The sequence below is a fragment of the Homo sapiens genome, chromosome 7 (genome assembly GCF_000001405.40).
Source record: "Homo sapiens chromosome 7, GRCh38.p14 Primary Assembly".
NCBI classification, from domain to species: Eukaryota; Metazoa; Chordata; class Mammalia; order Primates; family Hominidae; genus Homo; species Homo sapiens.
This window is the reverse complement of record NC_000007.14, coordinates 150,614,821-150,633,788: the sequence shown is the minus strand read 5'-3', so window position 1 is coordinate 150,633,788 and position 18,968 is coordinate 150,614,821. Positions and strand designations below refer to the sequence as shown.

At 42.8% G+C, this 18,968-nt stretch overlaps 1 protein-coding gene across 3 annotated transcripts, besides 6 other annotated features; it reads left to right on the top strand.

Moving 5' to 3' along the window:
• Positions 1,404 to 8,414, top strand: GIMAP6 (GTPase, IMAP family member 6). Of its 3 annotated transcripts, none has more exons than NM_001244071.2 (3): positions 1,404 to 1,620; positions 3,647 to 3,731; positions 5,501 to 8,414. In NM_001244071.2, exons 2-3 carry the CDS (start codon positions 3,647 to 3,649, stop codon positions 5,602 to 5,604), a joined length of 189 nt encoding a protein of 62 aa, NP_001231000.1. In that variant the 5' UTR covers positions 1,404 to 1,620; the 3' UTR covers positions 5,605 to 8,414. The 3 variants fall into 3 exon arrangements, with proteins under 3 accessions (NP_001231000.1, NP_078987.3, NP_001231001.1); NM_024711.6 differs by having other exon boundaries at positions 5,277 to 8,414; NM_001244072.2 differs by having other exon boundaries at positions 5,067 to 8,414.
• Positions 1,454 to 1,543: an enhancer, noted in NCBI's record as "active region_26838". NCBI's record gives its function as "activates an Ori minimal core promoter by ATAC-STARR-seq in GM12878 lymphoblastoid cells {active_cell/tissue: GM12878}" and the evidence as "EXISTENCE:reporter gene assay evidence [ECO:0000049][PMID:35858748]".
• Positions 1,554 to 1,643: an enhancer, noted in NCBI's record as "active region_26837". NCBI's record gives its function as "activates an Ori minimal core promoter by ATAC-STARR-seq in GM12878 lymphoblastoid cells {active_cell/tissue: GM12878}" and the evidence as "EXISTENCE:reporter gene assay evidence [ECO:0000049][PMID:35858748]".
• Positions 1,914 to 1,993: an enhancer, noted in NCBI's record as "active region_26836". NCBI's record gives its function as "activates an Ori minimal core promoter by ATAC-STARR-seq in GM12878 lymphoblastoid cells {active_cell/tissue: GM12878}" and the evidence as "EXISTENCE:reporter gene assay evidence [ECO:0000049][PMID:35858748]".
• Positions 4,042 to 4,242: a silencer, noted in NCBI's record as "peak6844 fragment used in MPRA reporter construct". NCBI's record gives its function as "represses an SCP1 promoter by STARR-seq MPRAs in K562 erythroleukemia cells {active_cell/tissue: K562}" and the evidence as "EXISTENCE:reporter gene assay evidence [ECO:0000049][PMID:32103011]".
• Positions 4,262 to 4,462: a silencer, noted in NCBI's record as "peak6843 fragment used in MPRA reporter construct". NCBI's record gives its function as "represses an SCP1 promoter by STARR-seq MPRAs in K562 erythroleukemia cells {active_cell/tissue: K562}" and the evidence as "EXISTENCE:reporter gene assay evidence [ECO:0000049][PMID:32103011]".
• Positions 12,163 to 12,242: a silencer, noted in NCBI's record as "silent region_18781". NCBI's record gives its function as "represses an Ori minimal core promoter by ATAC-STARR-seq in GM12878 lymphoblastoid cells {active_cell/tissue: GM12878}" and the evidence as "EXISTENCE:reporter gene assay evidence [ECO:0000049][PMID:35858748]".

Genomic DNA, 18,968 nt, shown 5'->3' with positions numbered 1-18,968 from the left:
GGCTCACACCTGTAATCCCAGAACTTTGGGAGGCCGAGGTGGGCAGATCATGAGGTCAGGTGATCGAGACCATCCTGGCTAACACAGTGAAACCCCATCTCTACTAAAAATACAAAAAATTAGCTGGGCGTGGTGGTGGGCACCTGGAGTCCCAGCTACTCAGGAGGCTGAGGCAGGAGAATGGCGTGAACCCAGGAGGTGGAACTTGCAGTGAGCCAAGACCGCACCACTGCACTCCAACCTGGGCGACAGAGCGAGACTCCGTCTCGAGAAAAAAAAAAAAAAAAGAATTAATCATGTTACACCAGGCGCGGTGGCTCACGCCCATAATCCCAACACTCTGGGAGGCCGAGGTGGGCAGATAACTTGAGGTCAGGAGTTTGAGACCAACCTGGCCAACATGGTAAAACCCCGTCTGTATTAAAAATACAAAATATTAGCCGGGTGTGCGGACGCCTGTAATTCCAGCTATTTGGGAGGCTGAGGCATGAGAATCGCTTGAACCTGGGAGGATGAGGTTGCAGTGAACTGAGATCACACCACTGCACTCCAGCCTGGGTGACAGGATGACATTCTGTCTCAAAAAAAAAAAATTAATTGTGTCAGGGTATTTACAGAATAATTTAAGTAGAACATTAAAAGATATATATATGTACACACACACATACTATGTAACAATTTTAATAAATACACCATGATTATCAACCAGAACAGAACCAAAGAAAATTAGAACTATTATAGTAGATTGAGTGGAATTTTTTTAGGGAATCTTAACATTTTAAAATCATGTGGTAACAATATCATCACCTATGCTCCTATGTTCTGAATTTCTTCCTTCAATGGCTTCCCTTTAGCCACAGTTATCAGATCTGTCAGTAAAGTCCTAGAAAACATGTTTTTGAGGATGCTGAGGTGTTTTCTCCCTTGGCCTGTGTTTAAAATATTGTTCTTCCCCCATAACAAGTGCTCTCTTTAATCCTACATTTTAGACATTCTTTTGTATTTTCCCTTTTCTTATAGTGCAGATCTTCTAGAAGCTGTAACAATTGTAATTACCAATGATTCATGCCTTAGAGGTAATGAGTGTCAGACCTTGTCCTGAGAGAAACTATTAAAGGAAGGAGAGGTTGGGGAAGAAAGGAGACAATGACTGTTTGCCCCAATACTGAGGCATAGAAGTTCCCTGGGGAAGAGGTGGGGTTCAGAAAAGAGAGATCAGGGAAAGTCACTCCTCCTGACACAAATCTTTCTGAGGCATCTGCCTCTTTTTAAGCTCTGAGTTCTAGTTATCCTGGCTCAGGATAAAAATAATCCCACCACTGGTATCCTCCCTTTTTCTACTTCCGAGGCTGCAAAGTGCAACAGCAGACTCTTCTGACTCAGGAAGGCCGGTGCTCCTACCCACTTCCTGTTCCTCCATCTCCAGCGGACACTGCTCTTTCAAGGGCAGGTCTCCAGCCCAGCTCTCTGAAAACATTTTGCTGAAAATATAAGCAAACATCGGCCTTGTCCTCCTTGTGTTCATACACTGTGGAAGCTTTTCTCTGCCTCCTCCGTGAGAGTGCGTGGCCGGGAGACCAGAAACGTGGTCCTTTCTCTTGCCTGTGAGCTGGTGCAGAGGTAAGTCTGAGTATTTGTGCGTGTCATATTTGGATGTGTATGTGTGGGTGTTTGTGTTGTACATGTGTGTTTACATGTTTGTATGTGTTAACATGAATGTGTGTGAGTGATGTTTGTGTGTGTGATGTTTGTGTTGTGTGTGTATGTGAGTGTTGTGTGTGTGTTGTGTATGTATATTTGTGTTTGTGTATGTGTTTGTGTGTTCACCTGCATGTGTGTGAGTGGTACATGTGTTTTGTGTATGTGTGTGTGTTGTGTATTTGTGTGTGCTGTGGTGTGTGCAGGTTTGTAATGTGATAAAAAGAGCTGTGACCAACACGTCTGGAGAACTTTTTGCCTTGTGACAAAGTCACTGTTTAATATTTGGCAAGATGCTTCTCTGAGTTTTGCTTTCTTCCAGAGCAATATGACAAGGATGGTACTATCTGTTCCATCTTCTGTGTTGGAGACAATGCACACTGTGGCCAACATGGGAGGTGCCATTCCGGGGAGGGTCTAGGAGGAGGCAGGGAGGTGCCTTGCGTGCAGACCCATTCCCCGAACCCTGCGAAGGCACAGTGCAGGTTCCTGCATGCCACAGCCTAGTCCCACCCGGCTGTTGTTTCCTGTTAAGCTGCCTGCCCGTTCTCTCTAAAGGAGGAATGAGATTACATTGGTAAAGTGCTGCCTCAATTTCCACCAGGGATGTAAGGAAGCCAGGGACAAAGAGATTGAGAGGCCACCAGTTAGGAAGAACTAACTCCCTTTGGTAGGTGAAATATTGTACTCCTTCCAGAATCTGGCTGTTCAGGTCTGAGTAAGGCTGTCCGCCTGGCCTGCTTCTTCTTTCTTCCTAGAAAGTCAACAGACCTTCCTGGACTCCCTCCATGCCCAGCCCAGCACTGCAAAATTGATCTTTACCAATCATAAAGCAATATCCGCATATATACTTCTGGGATCTGGGGAGGACTGGAGTGTTTGCCAGGTGAACAGAATAGAACAAACATCTAACAATGTGGCAATGAGAAAAACATGTCTATCAGGTTCCCCTGGACTTAGGTTTCCCCACACCCCAGACCCTTCATCTGGATCTGTTTCATCTGGTTGTGAATGTCCTACATGATCTGGAAAAACAGTCATGGACCATGCAACTTCCTCCTCAGTCCCACAGAGAAAATCCAGCAGAGAGAACCTTATGGGATCTTGGCACAGAGAACTGTGTTAGTCTATGAAGCCAGGACACATTGCTGTCATGGGAAAGGGGACAGGAGTTCCTGGTTGGGAATGATGTGGCCCTAATTTGCAAAAAGGACTAAGAATTGCTCTAAAAAATGTTATGAAGTATGTTGAGACCTTAATAGGGGAAGAGACATTCACAGGCATCTAGTTCAGGCCCAACATTCTTACTGATGGGATGCTGAGGCCCAGACAGAGCTAACTGGTGGCTGCTTCTCCCCTGAGGTCTCTGGCTTCCTTCCCAGCTCAGCCCCTGCAATCCCAGTCCTCTGTAACCCTCACTGCACAGTCTTCTCCAAAGTCTGGCCCCAAGGCCCACCAAGTGGCCCCTCCCAACAACATCCTACTCATTCACGTCCTCCAGGCACACCAGGCCTTCCTGCTGCTCCCAGGGAACACAGGATCAGAATCACACCTGCTTCTGTGCTTCCCTTCCTCCACCTCCTCCTTCTTCCCTTCCTCCACCTCCCCCCACCTCCCAGAACAGTTCCAGACCCTTTGTCTATCCAAATTTCATCCATTCCTCAGCTCCCAGGCCAGTTGCACCTTTATCTGTAAAATCTCTTAAACTTATGATGGAGACCACAATGAAGGGGGCGAGGGATAGCATCCCTAAAGAAATAGGGTCCCTAAAGCCAGCAGAGAGTGTCTTAGACCCCTTCTTCCATTGCCTCACTCAGTCCCACCCCAACCCTAAACTAATGCAAAAAACTTTCCTCTGGCAAGAGAAAGGCGAAAGGCAGGTGGCTGTTGAAACTCATTTGGAAAGTCAGTAGAACATATGATTTTTTTTTTTTTTTTTTTTTTGTAGATGGAGGAAGAAGAATATGAACAAATTCCCCAGGAGAATCCCCCAGAAGAGCTGTCCCAGGATCCTGTGCTGGAGCTGTCAGGAGGTAAAATGAATGAGGAGAGGGGAGCAAGTGGGAAACATTTGGGGTGCAGGTGGGACACAGCTCCACCACCATAGTGTGCTTGGAGAGGAAGCTGACGTCCCCCAGTCACAGAAATTTACCCGCCTCAGCCACCATCAGAGGCCTTTGGGGTAGGGCCCTTCTTATCACTAGCCAAAAATAAGAAAAAAGACCCCTGGATAGGTATGGTAGATAAAAGGAGGCGAGAAATAGCACCAATGACTAAATCACCATGCCAGTCCCAAAGGAAATGCTTTCACATGGTAGATGTTCTTCCTCAGGATGGATGTGCTGACAGTGCGTGTGACGAAAATAAGTGGCCTTGGACTGAGGCTTGGATGCCAACAGACCCTGTATGGGTGTTTGGCTGACTCCGAAGTGGAGCTGTCACAGTTGTAAGTTTGAAAGCGCCTTGTGCACAAGCAGAATGTACTTGGCTGCTGCCTCAGATCTGGGCTCTGCCTTATCGAGGGCGTCCCTTTCCCAAAAGCCATTGCACAGGGTCAGGCGCTTAACTTTCATGGGCTCAACTTCGTCATTCATCCTGGGGAGGCAGGATTTACAAATGCTGGAAACCCAGCCCTTTCCTGGCCAGAAGAAATGATTTGTGATTCATTATGTATTTTAATATGAATGACCTTTTACTTTATGAACTTAAATGGCCTGAGCCATCTGGAAAAAGCCACGTTAACCTACTACAATAGGGACATTACCAATACCTGTGTAACACCTGTTTGACCTTTTGTTATAGCAATCAAGGTTAGCTATTCTTTTAAGAATCCTCTCCAGAGCTCAAGTGATGCATTTGGCTTTAGTAAAGTCCAGTGGTGTGTGCTAGCTCCAGGCTGCTCAGATGGGGGTTCCTGTCTCCTCTGGCTCTGCACTGGGCTAGGTGGGTGGGGATGAAGATCTACTGCCCAGACTTCTGCCCATTCATTCAAATTCCTTCCAGCCACCTTGGGGAAGCTGGAGGGGGCCCAATGTCACTCAGTTAGAATTGGCACGTGGGTCAGAGCCAAGGGTGGCTGTCAGGCCACAGCAAGGCCTGTTGGTGCCCAGGAGATTCAGGAGATGGCCACGCCCATGCTGCCACATGCCAGCTTCATGCTTTGTCATCTGAGATACATCAATGTCTTCAGTGGGGACAAGACTGGGAAACCAGCTATTACTTGTCACTTCTTTATGTGCTCTGGGTCTTGGGACCCGCAAGGCCAGGAGAAGGGAATTCCCTTCCTGCCTTCTTCCCCAGTCATATCTAAAAACCTTGGTATTGGGTTTCTTGGTGTTCTATTGGCCAAGTCTCGCTCTTCTTTCTAGGCTCTGCTCTTGCACTGGGAGAGAACGTTCAGCCCCACCTTCAAGGATGTGGGCCCAGAATGGTGGCCCAGCGCTGGTTTCAGGGCAGATGTTGGTCTTTTACAATCTGCCCCTGCAGTCTGGGGGTACACCCAGAGGCTCCTGGTGATGACAAGATGGGGTACATGGGCCCTTACCCCAGTTCCCTCTGCTTTCTTTGGATATTTCTAGGTCTAAGGGAGAAAGAACAGAAGACCCCAAGGAGACTGAGGCTCATTCTCATGGGGAAAACAGGGAGTGGGAAGAGTGCAACAGGAAACAGCATCCTCGGCAGGGACGTCTTCGAGTCTAAACTCAGCACCAGACCCGTGACCAAGACCTCCCAGAGACGGAGCCGAGAGTGGGCTGGGAAGGAGCTTGAGGTGATTGACACACCCAACATTCTGTCCCCCCAGGTCTCGCCAGAGGTGGCAGACGCTATCTGCCAAGCCATCGTCTTATCCGCCCCAGGGCCCCACGCCGTGCTCCTGGTGACACAACTGGGCCGGTTCACGGATGAGGATCAGCAGGTGGTCAGGCGCCTGCAGGAGGTCTTTGGAGTGGGGGTTCTGGGTCACACCATCCTGGTGTTCACCCGGAAGGAAGACCTGGCTGGCGGCTCCCTGGAAGACTATGTGCGAGAGACCAACAACCAGGCCCTTGCCTGGCTGGATGTGACCCTTGCACGGCGCCATTGCGGCTTCAACAACAGGGCACAGGGGGAGGAGCAGGAGGCCCAACTGCGAGAGCTCATGGAGAAAGTTGAAGCCATTATGTGGGAAAACGAAGGAGATTATTACAGCAACAAGGCTTACCAATATACCCAGCAAAACTTTCGGCTGAAAGAACTACAGGAAAGGCAAGTAAGCCAGGGCCAAGGCTCTGAGGACGTGCCTGGTGAGGAGTCTTGGCTGGAAGGACTGTCCCAGATCCAGAAGGAATCTGAGGAAGCCCACAGATGCCTGCTGGGGAAGGCTGACCTTTGAGCCTGTGCTGGACTTGAGCCAAGGACACCATCAGCCTTTGCACCCCCCTGTGTCCAGCCCTCTGTTTCTCTTTCCATCCCATGGAGTGCTTCCCAGTCTCCAGGTCATGACGTCTGGTGTAGGAAGAGGGGCATGGGGCTTGAGGACAGGGTCCAGCATGCCCAGATCACATTCCAGTTCCTTCATTCCTTCTTCCAGAACATCTGGGTCCTCCCTCCTCTGTGCCCCAACAGCACGCTGTCTTCCTATTGGACCTTCTATCTCATTGCATTGCCTTTCATGAGTTACTTGTCTATACTCTGATAGAACCAAAGTTTCTTGAGGGCAGGCCTGTATCTTTTACTTCTGTGTAACTTCCACAGCTTTTGACTGCATTGGAGTCATGCAGTCACGTTTGGTGCGGCAACTCCATGCAAGCTGTTGACCAGATGACTTCTCATCTCTCCCCACACCATGATGGTTTAAGGTGCCTGTTGTGTCTGGTGGCTGGAACATGGCAGTGGTGCTGAGACATGGGGAGGGTTGGAGACTGGGTGGGGAGGGTTGGAGACTGGGCTGGGAGGAGAGCAAGCAGGAACAGGGATGGAGGCAGGAGGAGCAGCCCTTTTATTCACTCTTGAGCTGTAACAAACAAGCCCCGTTGGAACTTCCTAGTGGGAATGATGGGAGAAGTTTGGGGCAGGGTATCCAAGAAGTCAGACTGTGGTCAAGTAGGTGGTCCCTTGCCCTGGCTACAGAACATGGAAGCCCCTAGGGATGCAAGTGGACTTGGGCAGAGGAGGTCACACCACCCCACCAAGGTAGACTTAGATTAGAGATGACTTGCATCTGTTACTTCCCCTTTTTCCATGGGTTTCATGGCCCCTCATGATATTTGCCTTCTGCTCCTAGAAGGCACAGACTACTTTCAACCTGCCTCGCCCTTCACTGCCACCCCTCCCTTCTCCCTTGATAATGGGAGCATGTGGATGGGGTGTCTGCGTGTGCAAACGGGTTCCCTAGCAAAGTATTTGTGGGGGTCCAATGCAAGGAGGCAGGGAAGAAAGGGGGCCTGCAAAGGAAGCAGTAGAGTGACTTAAACATCTTGCGAGGCAGCCTGCCTGGTTTATGGGAGAACTCTGAAGCCCATGATGTTTTCCTGGAAGGCTGTTCCTACAGACGGGGTTTATAAGTACTGATACTGGACAGGATGAGAAGGGAGTAGGATGTCATCCTGTCTCAGGCCTCGGATAGGAAGCTGCCTGCCAGCAAGAGGAGACTGATGTGCCCCGGGTGCACCCCACCTCCTTTGAGGTCCAAGATGCTCCTGGGGAGTTGACCGACATTTGGGAAGATAATAGGAGGCATTGGGGAAACTGCTCCCCAATATATTCCTCTTTTCCTTTCTTCAAGCTGCGTAGCAGGGGGCCTTTAGCTAGTTTCTCCCGAGAGGGGCGGGAAGTACAGCTGGTGGAGACAGTGCTGGGAGATGATCAGAAATCTCAGGGCACAGCCTCAGGTCTACCTGGACACTCATCCACTGTTGGAGATGCTCAACAGCTAGACACAGATGCTCACAGCCGACCTGTGGCCTCTTGCTCTGAAGCCATCCCCCATCTTCCCTAGACACAGCAGACATCTGAGAAAGCTTCAGCATTTCTCTTGCTAACAGATTCAGAAAAGTGTCTCAAAGCAGAGCACAGAGTTATTTGGTGTTTGCTGAAGACAGCCTTTGTGCCACAATCACTTATTAAATAAGCGATCAATTTCCCATTGAACTGAACATGCAACATTTATCATACATTCAGTTCTCATTCACACTCCTTAAGATTTGGTCAGAATTTTTATTTCTGTTCATGTCTTCTACTTTTCTACTCCTGTATGAATAAAATATTGATTTGATTACAGTGGCTTTGACTATAATGTGGGAGCCAATTTTTGCCTCAGTCTTCATTTTTATATTTACCTTGTTATTCTCAGGCATTTTTTTCTTCTATGTGAGAGTTAAAATCATTCTGTAATTTCCCCCCAAAATCATATTGGTATTCTAGTTGGCAATGTCTTACATTTATGTTAAGTTTGAGGGAATTGGTAGTTCAAGTATAAGTTAATTAAGGCCATTTTATTTCTAAGTGAACAGACTTGAAACTCCAGAGCTACTGAAGTAAAAGTTAGAATCATTTGCATTTTCATTCAGATAGGAGATAATTTTGTAAATTTTGATGCTATTATTTTAACTCTATTAGCTTAAGTAATGTCATAATAGAAAACACAAGCATTTGACCAAATGAGATCCATTCAGCGACTAACTGGCAAGGCACTCAAAACATGTCATTCATTAAATGTTGTTTTTATTTACCTCAAATATGGTGTTTTCTCTCTTTTATTGCTAAGCACCAGGAAAGATATCTCCCATGACATTTCAGGAATAGGGATAGATGTCTCTGCATAGCTCTCACTCTTTCAGCTTCAGAGGAGAATGGGGAAAGCATGTGTGGGTATGTTCTAGAAACTCTAGTCTATCAACCAGTAAGAAATTAGTGGTGGGGGGTGATGGTGATGAGAGAGGGTTGTCTTGGCCAAAGCTGTGATAATAGCAGCTTTTAGAGTTTGTTAAAAATATCTCTACACTAAAGTGAAGGATGAAAAACAGGGATTTGGAGAATTTGAGCTAAGTCAGTACAGGGTTTTTCCTCCTTGGTGGATCAAAGCAGGTGTGGAGTGTTACAGAAAGATTCCAGCCTCTAACCTTTTTGTGATAACATTTATAAAGTGCATAGAAAATTCAAAATTATAATACTAAGAAAATAACTTTGAAGGCATGGGAAATGGCTAAATGCAGGTAGACACTCATGCAGAGAACCTGACCCCTAAGATGAGGGGACCACACTAGTCTCATCTTGGTGTGACTTTTCACATTAAGGCAGTATTCAGTCGTGTGGATGCAGACATGGCACACACCAGATGTTCACAGTGGCCTGGAGGGTGGGAGGGTGGAGCCTGGGACAACCAGAGCAGGTAAAAATTTACATGGGAGCTCCCCAAAATAAAAGAGCTGCAGAGCGGGGAGATGGAGTGGTGGGGATTTGCGGGCTGGGTACCAAAAGCTCTGCATTTCTCCCTTCAAATCCTTGGCTGACCCTGAACTGTACAAGCACAGGGCACTCTCCAGAGGATCCCAGGAAAACTTCTGTGGAGGTTGAAAGAGCTGATCAGAGATGTCAGCAGTTGCCCACAGTAGCAAAGAGAATTGCAAGTTCCAGTCCATCAAGTTAGAAGACCTTGGTAAACTTGTATATTTCCACTGAAATACCAAAAGGATCATATTTTAGGAGTAAGTACTGCATCTCAGCACTGAGAGACTTGCCCTAGAAGGAAGAGCAAATTAAAGCAAACCCTTGCTAATGATGTCTAAAATCAAGCCTTCCCAAGGCAAAAGCGATCCACCAGTAATTTAAGTGCCCGTTGGAACAAACTCAATATTCTGCAGAAGATATAATATCCAAAGCCTCTACAACATGTTACCTACAATATCCTTTACCTTACTAAAAATTCTTCTTTTCGAACATATAAATATAGAGATATAAAATGTCCTTCTGTGCATGTTTATCTGTATCTCACACATTTTTATCTTTTTTTTTTTTGAGACAGGATCTTGCTCTGTTGCCCAGGCTGGTGTGCAGTGGCATGATCATGGCTCACTGAAGCCTCAACCTCCTAGGCTCAAGCAATTCCCCCACCTGAGTTTCCTGTGTACCTGGGACCACAGGCATGCATCACCACACCCAGCTTAATTTTTTAGTTTTTGTAGAGATGGGGTCTCACTTTGTTGTCCAGGCTGGTCTCAAACTCCTGAGCTCAAGCAATCCTCCTGCTTCAGCCTACCAAAGTGGTGAAATTACAGGCATGAGCCACCACGCCTGGCCCACATTTTAAAATATTCTATTTTCACTATCGTTCTTTTAAAATACTTTCTATATTTCTTGTGCTGTCTTTTTTCACTCATGGATTATGTAGAAGTGTGTATTAAAATTCCACGTTTGAATATTTTCTAGAAACGACAGTATCCAATAAGGTAGGTATTATCCACATGTGGCTACTGAGCACTTAATATATAGGGGTACACCTGAGAAACTAAATTTTAAATTTTATTCAGTTGTCATTACTTTTAAATTTTGAAACAGTGTAAAATATTTTACCATGAAACACAACTTTACTATTTTGGTGGAAATACCTTTACCTCTAACTGTTGCCTCACTTAAGATATTACAGATCATCCCTGACTTATGAGGGTTTGACTTAGGATTTCTTGACTTGATGATGATATGAAAGTTCTGTGCATGCAGTAGAAAGCCATGTGACACCCTCTCACGAAGCTCAGCTGTGGCAGTGAGCTGCAACTCCCAGTCAGCACGCGATTACTCTGGTAAACAACTGCTACCCTACAGTGTACTGTTGCCAAGCTATAATGACCAGCAGGTTAGGTTTATTGAGTGCATTTTAGACTTTCAATATTTCACCTTACAATGGGTTTATCAGGACGTAACTCTGTTGTAAGTTGAGAAGCATCTGAGCCAGGCATGGTGGCTCACGCTTGTAATTCCAGCACTTTGGGAGGCTAACACTGGAGGATAATTGGCCCAGGATTTCAAGACCAGCCTGGGCAACATGGTGGAACCCCATCTCTTAAAAAAAAAAAAAAAGAAGTAAAAGAAAAAATCTGAAAATAGAGATGTATCTGTATTGGACTGCAAATGTGTTGCCACATGGATTGTTTTCAGCACCATGTATAAATATATCCCTGATCTAGTCAGTGTCAATGGATTGATTCAATTTGAATAATTTTTTATCAGGACACAATATCTTTATTTGAATATTTTATGTAGATAGCATGAGTTATAGTTACACCTATCTATATTGTTAATGATAATTAAAATTAAATGCTAATTATTATTTTATTTATAATACAATTAAATTACTTTTTAGCTTAAAATAAGTATAGCCAAGTTTTAATTTTGAAGTGAAGGTATAATGCTGATGCAGAATTGAATGGAGATGATTAAGCTAGTGCTACAATTAGAACAGGAAAGAGAACTATAGATTAGCAGAAGACATGTTGCAAATTTCATGATTAATAGTAATTATAATACGCCACAGTACAGCAAAAGAAAACACACACCTTTTTTGTTGTGTTAAAAAAATGGAAAGATAATGGAGTGTACTATTATGAAGAGACATTTTCAGCAGATACATAGGGTGCTTGATAAAAAGCTTTCTCTCAACAATCAAAAACAGAATTGACAAAGTTAGTCACCTGGAGCCAGAATTAAACATCCAACAACGAAAAACTAAAGATGTTTTAACAGGATCTGAGCTTATGACTGACAGCAATAAAACTTGGATTATTGCACACACACAAAACAACATTTTTAGTTGGAGAGAAGGTACAATAAATTATTACTTCAGTTACAGAAAATTTTGTTGGAAAACGTGGCAGAAAAAAACTTAAAAAATTAAATGTATAGGAAACATGAAAAGTCTTCCATTAAGGCACCAAAAAATGCCCACAGAGGCAAGACTTTTTAAATAATAACAAAGACTAATTGAGCTAACATTGGAAAATTCACAAGTATTTTTCTTGAGCACTAGATGAGAAGTGTGATGTAAGACACTGTCTTACAAAGACTTTGGCAATGTTTAGTCTCAAAATATTCAAAATTTGTGAGGTATGTAAATTCAAGACAAAAATATGAATTAGTGGTATAGATTATCTTAAAGTATTTTACACTTGTCAAATAAGAATTTTAGCTAGATATTTGGCACAAATCCCTTGTGATATAAGTAGTCTCATTTTCATATTTTATAACCCAGGACTACTGGGGTCTGTTATTTCTGAAAATTATGTTGCCTCCATGTTTTCCAAAGAGCATTTCATGTTCCTCTGCTGATACAGAGGAGTCAATTAGGAAAACTGAAGCACATTTAGGTATTAAAAGTAGGATGTACTTTCCATCCAGGGAACTAGAGACTGTCACATGCTTTGGAGAGCTGGGGATGCACAGGCCTGGGGAAGCTCATTGGTGCACGGAGCTGGTGGCTTTCAGATGCTCCTTTGCTGTAACATGCATCTGTGGTTCACCCATTGTGTCTTTGCTGTCACTGCCAGAGAATGATTCTCCTTCTTTCTCATCCACCTCCCAAATCTCACCTGAGTGCCTCTTGTTGGCTGACTGTCATATGGTCCATATGGGGAAAGGGATGACAAGAAATGTCATCCCAGGCTCTTTATCTGTGACTCAGAGAACTTAAGAGAATTAGTGATACTGCATTTATAACAGACACTTTGGCACAGCTAAATAATTCAACATCAACATTCATCTTGTTAAAGCAAAATTAAAGTGGAGAGTGGGCCTGAAAATGTTCTGAGCAAACAAAACCAACCAACTAGGCATTAAAAATAGCTTTAATGTTGCTTAAATTCAAAACATAAGCAAAACTTAACTTGGGTTATTTCTGGTAAACTAATTTAACTTGAGTCATTTCTGTCTTTCTTAGACAGAAACAAAACCTAATCTCAGTCATTCATAAGCAGCCAATCAACATATGATTATGTGACTATGAACTTTCCAGCAAGGTAAAGAGAAAAGGTAAATTCATAACAGCAACCAATCAAATAATTTTTAAATTCTGCTTCTGCATTCATCCTATAGATACTTGCCTCTGATGCTTTGTCATCAGCGTGCTGAACCTCTTTTGGTTTGTGTGTTTACCAATTCATGAATTGCTTGTTACTCAAATAAACTTGAAAATTTTGTTGTGCCTTGGTTTTTACCAGTTTGGTGTCAGAAATCAGATCTGAAGGATCCCCTTGTAATCCCCAGATGCAGTCAGTAACCAGGCATAGGTACTTGCTGAGTCCATTGTGCTAATTTCTTGCTGCATCTAGAGGTTATGGGTAAGTCCCTCTCAGATTTTGTATTTTGCATCCTGCGTTTGCATCCTGAGCTCTCTGCATTTTGCATCCTGAGCTCTCTAAGTTTATTCGAGAAGTTTTGTTTCTGAATGGATCCAGGGTTGAGCTGAGTGATTGACAGGAACTGGACCAGGTCCAGTGTAGTGTACACTAGCTTCCAGACTAGGTCTAACCAAAATCTGGGTTGGATTTCAAAGGTTGAACTGTGTTTTCAACAGGAACTGGACCGGTTCCAGTTAAGGGCCTCTGGTAAGTAGAGTTTTAGAACAGAGAATTATGTGTTCATCAAAATCTAAGGAGTCTGGGACTCCTCTGTCTGTAACTCCAATGCATTTTAGGTTTAAAAATTACGGACCCAGAACCTGTGCATTTCTAGAGAAATGAGTGCATCTCAGGAAGATAACTTAGAGTTACAGTGGCCACAATGAGAAAGTTTTAATGTAGATGAAATTTTTTATCTATGAGTACATTAGGAAAAAAAGGGCGGGGCGGGGAAATCCCAAATGGCTCAAATACAATGAGATACATTTTTTGATTTGTGTACAAAGGATTCCAAAAGACAGAATGACTCAGAAAATTGCCCTTTAAGGAAATCTTTGCAGTGTGCTAATAGAAAACTATTCTGAACCTACTAACCTCTTTGATCTCTTGTCTTTTCCATCTGAACCTCATCAATACCAACTTCCTTAAAAAATTAGATCTTCAAATGAGTCAGGGGTATGTAGAACAACTAAATTTAACTTTTGGTCTCATACACACTCCCAAGCTATGGTAAAAGCATCCACCTAAGAATAAAAAGAAGAAAGACTAATTGGAAATACACTGGATGTCTCCTCAGTCACTCACGTAAAATGTAATCTGCAGTCTCAATAAGATTGACTTCTGATAATAGGCAAATATGTCCCAAAACTCCTGGAGAAAACATAACATCCTTCCTCTGTGCCTTTGAGATGTCTAAATCTTCTAAATGCAAGCATCAGAGAAATCATTCACAAGTAGGGAAAAAAAGAGGAAACTTTTAGAAATAAACAGACAAATAGAAAACATTTTATGCCCTTTCCACAAATATTAATTAAAGTCTTGAGCCATCTGAACAGGTAACTTTAACTGTCAAGAACATAGTTTGAACCCAACTAATGAGTTTTACATTATTGTGCCTGATACATGACTAAACCTTTAGAACAGATGCCACGACTCTATTTGCATCTGTTCGTATATTTATATACGTCTACATATGTGTATGTTATTTGTATGTAATTTTATTCTACCTATGGTTAATATTATTAGAAATAATATTAAAATTACTACATTTAATTGGGTATAGTCATGCACTGCATCGTGTCATTTTGATCAATTAAGGGCTGCATATACTACAGTGGCTTCATAAGGTTATCATGAGACTAAAAAATTCCTATCACCTAGTAGCTATTGAATGTCATAGTGCAACACATTATTCACATGTTTGTGGTGACATTGGTGTGAAAAGCTGCCAGTCATATAGAACATACAATTATTTACAGTACATAATACTTGATTGTAATAATAAATGACTATGTTACTGGTTTATGTATTTACTATATTTTAAATCATTGTTTTAGAGTATACTCCTTCTACTTATAAAAAAAGTTAATTGTAAATAGCCCCTCAGGCAGGTTCTTCAGGAGCTATTCCAGAATAAGTCATTGTTATCACAGACGATGGCAGTTCAATGTGTGCCATTGCCCCTGAAGAACTTCCAGCGGGAAAAGGTATGGAGGTGGAAGACAATGAAATTCATGATCCTGACCATGTGTAGGCCTAAGCTAATGTGTGTGTTTGTGCCTTAGTTTTTAACAAAAAGTTTGAAAAGTAGAAAAAGACAAAAGCTTATAGAATAAGAATATTTTAAAATTTTTTGTGCAGTTGTTCAATGTGTTTGTGTTTTAAATTGTGTTATTACAAGAGCTAAAAATTTAAATAAAAAGTTTAGAAAATAAAAAGGTTACAGTAACCTAAGTTTAATTTAATTGAAAATGGACCCCTTCCTTACACCTTATACAAAAATTAACTCAAGATGAATTAGACTTAAACATAAGACCTAAAACCATAAAAACACTAGAAGAAAACCTAGGCTATTAATACCATTCAGGACATAGGCATGGGCAAAGACTTCATGACTAAAACACCAAAAGCAATGGCAACAAAAGCCAAAATTGACAAATTGGATCTAATTAAACTAAAGAGCTTCTACTCAACAAAAGAAACTATCATCAGAGTGAACAGGCAACCTACAGAATGGGAGAAAATTTTTGCAATCTATCCATCTGACAAAGGGCTAATATGCAGAATCTACAAGAGACTTAAACAAATTTACAGGAAAAAAACAAACAACCCCATCAAAAAGTGGGTGAAGGATATGAACAGATACATTTCAAAACGAGACATTTATGCAGCCAACAAACATATGAAAAAAAGCTCATCATCACTGGTCATTAGAGAAATGCAAATCAAAATCACAATGAGATACCATCTTACACCAGTTAGAATGGTGATCATTAAAAAGTCAGGAAACAACAGATGCTGGTGAGGATGTGAAGAAATAAGAATGCTTTTACACTGTTGGTGGGAGTATAAATTAGTTCAACCGTTGTGGAAGACAGTGTGGTGATTCCTCAAGGATCTAGAACCAGAAATACCATTTGACCCAGCAATCCCATTACTGGGTATATATCCAAAGGATTATAAATCATTCTACTATAAAGACACATGCACATGTATGTTTATTGCAGCACTATTTACAATACCAAAGACTTGAAACCAACCCAAATGCCCATCAGTGATAGACAGGATAAAGAAAACATGGCCCATATACACTATGGAATACTATGCAGCCATAAAAATGGATGAGTTCATGTCCTTTGCAGGGACATGGATGAAGCTGGAAACCATCATTTTCAGCAAACTAATGCAAGAACAGAAAACCAAACACTGCATGTTCTCACTCATAAATGAGAGTTGAGCAATGAGAACACATGGACACAGGGAGGGGAACATCACACACTGGGGCCTGTAAGGGGGTGCAGGGCAAGGGGAGGGATAGCATTAGAAGAAATACCTAAAGCATGCGGGGCTTAAAATCTTAAATGTAAATGGGCTAAATGCCCCAATTAAAAGACACAGACTGGCAAACTGAATAACGAGTCAAGACCTATCAATGTGCTGTATTCAGGAGACCCATCTTAAGTGCAAAGACACACATAGACTCAAAATAAAGGGATGGAGGAATATTTCCCAAGCCAATGAAAAGCAAAAAAAAAAAAAAAAAAAAAAAGAAAAGCAGGGGTTGCGATTCTATTCTCTGATGAAACAGACTTTAAACCAACAAAGATAAATAAAGACAAAGAAGGGCATTACATAATGGTAGATGGATCAATGCAACAAAAAGAGCTAATTATCCTAAATATATATGCACCCAATACAGGTTGGACAGATCAATGAGACAGAAAATTAACAAGGATATCCAGGACTTGAACTCAGCTCTGGACAAGCAGGCCTAATAGACATCTAAAGGACTCTCCACCCCAAATCTATAGAATATACATTCTTCTCAGCACCACATAGCACTTATTCTAAAATCGACCACATAGTTGGAAGTAAAACACTCCTCAGCAAATGCAAGAGAACAGAAATCATAACAAACAATCTTTCAGACCACAGTGCAATCAAAATAGAACTCAGGATTAAGAAACTCACTCAAAACTGCACAACAACATGGAAACCGAACAACCTGCTCCTGAATGACTACTGGGTAAATAACAAAATTAAGGTAGAAGTAAAGAAGTTCTTTGAATCCAATAAGAACAAAGAGACAATGTACCAGAATCTCTGGGACACAGCTAAAGCAGTGTTGAGGGAAATTTATAGCACAATGAATATTATTAAAACATAGATGACGGGTTGATAGGTGCACCATGGCACATGTATACCTATGTAACAAACCTGCACGTTCTGCACATGTATCCCAGAACTTAAACTATAATAAAAAACAAAATAAAATAAATTGAAAAAAGAAAATATCTTTTATAAATTTAATATAGTCTACATGTACAGTGTTTATAAAGTCTACAGTAGGGTACACTAATGTCCTAGGCCCTCACATTCACTCACCTGTCACTCACTGACTCATCCAGAGGAACTTTCAGTCCTTCAAGCTCCATTTATGGTAAGTGCCCTATACAGGTATACAATTTTTTATCTTTTATACCATATTTTATACTGTGCATTTTCTGTGTTTATGTGTGTTTAGATATACAAATACTTACCACTGTGTTACAATTGTCTGCAGTATTCAGTACAGCAACATTCTGTACAGATTTGTGGCCTAGGAGCAATAGGCTATACCCAACAGTAGGCTATGTAGCCTCGGTGTGTAGTAGGCAGTACCATGTACATTTGTGTATGTATGCTTTATGATTTCACACAACAATGAAACCACTTAATAATGCATTTCTCAGAAGGTATCCCTGTTAAGGGATACATGACTGTATTTTCACTGTCAGAGGAAAACTGCCTACTCAAGCCTCAGTAATGGCGGACGCCCCTCCCCCCAGCAAGTTCCATCATCCCAGGTCAACTTCAGATTGCTGGGCTGGCAGTGAGAATTTCAAGCCAGTGGCTTTTAGCCTGCTGTTCTCCAAGGGATTGGGACCTGCTGAGCGAGACCACTTGGCTCCCTGGCTTCAGCCCTCTCTAAAGGGGAGTGAACCATTCTGTCTCACTGGGGTTCCAGGTGCCACTGGGGTGTGAAAAAACACTCCTGCAGCTAGCTCTGTGTCTGCCCAAATAGTCACCCAGTTTTGTGCTGGAAACCCAGGGCCCTGGTGGTGTAGGCACACGAGGGAATCTCCTGGTCTGTGGATTGCAAAAACCATGGGAAATGTGTAGTTCTATCTGGGCCAAATAGCACAGTCCCTCACAACTTCCCTTGGCTGTGGGAGGGAGGCCCCTGGCTGCTTGGACGTCCTAGGTGAGGTGACGCTCACCCTCCATGGTGTTGGGAAAAGCTGAGTGTTGGGAGAAGCTGAGGCAGGGCTTACATGTCTGACACAATGTAAAAGAGTCTTGGAACCTGTCCAGGGTCCGGGGTCTAAAACCTCTCTTGGCCTTTGGAACACCAAGCTCTGTGCTAAAGGGTGGAAGCCTACCCTGATGCACCATAATGTAAGCGCAGGACATAAAACCCCTCATGGCCTCTGGAATGTGTCTAGACTTGCTGGCTCCTTGCTCCTTGCTCTGCCAGGATCGATTGTATCTTGAGTTAAAAGAACCTTCTCTCCATTATCTCAAGTAGCAGAGCATATGCTAAACTGTCATAGCTGTAAATCATGTGCTTAATGCAATGTTCCCTTTCAACCCCACATTCTCACCACCTGTTTCTTTGTTTGATCACCAATAAATAGTCTGGGCTTCCAGAGCTCAGGGCCTTCACAGCCTCCATTACTCACATTGGCGCCCTGGGCCCACTTTCTCTCTCAAACTGTCTTTACTCATTCCTTTGACTCCACCAGATTTTGTCACCCCCACCACCTGGTGTTGGGTCCAATCACCCCAACATTCCTGGCTGCCCAACTTGGGGTGACAAATACCCCAGTGAAGGAATGCTAGAGCATGTGAAAGTGGAGGATGCATCGTCAAAGGACACCTGAGGACCACTGAAAGAAGCTCGTCAGGAAAGCTGAGCACTTGGAAGAAACAGGGTAACAATGGGACAAAGTGAAAGCAAACATTCTGCTTACTTGAATTTCTTAAGGCACTTATTATGAAGAGGGTGAGACATGGGGTAAGACCCAGTGGAATCTGAGGCTTGTTTATTCAGAAGGCCCCATTTAGAGAAAAAGAAGACAAAGTGAGGACTTAGAAGGAGCCTGGGAAAGTAAAGTCATCTTGAAGCTTCAGTTTCACAGTTAA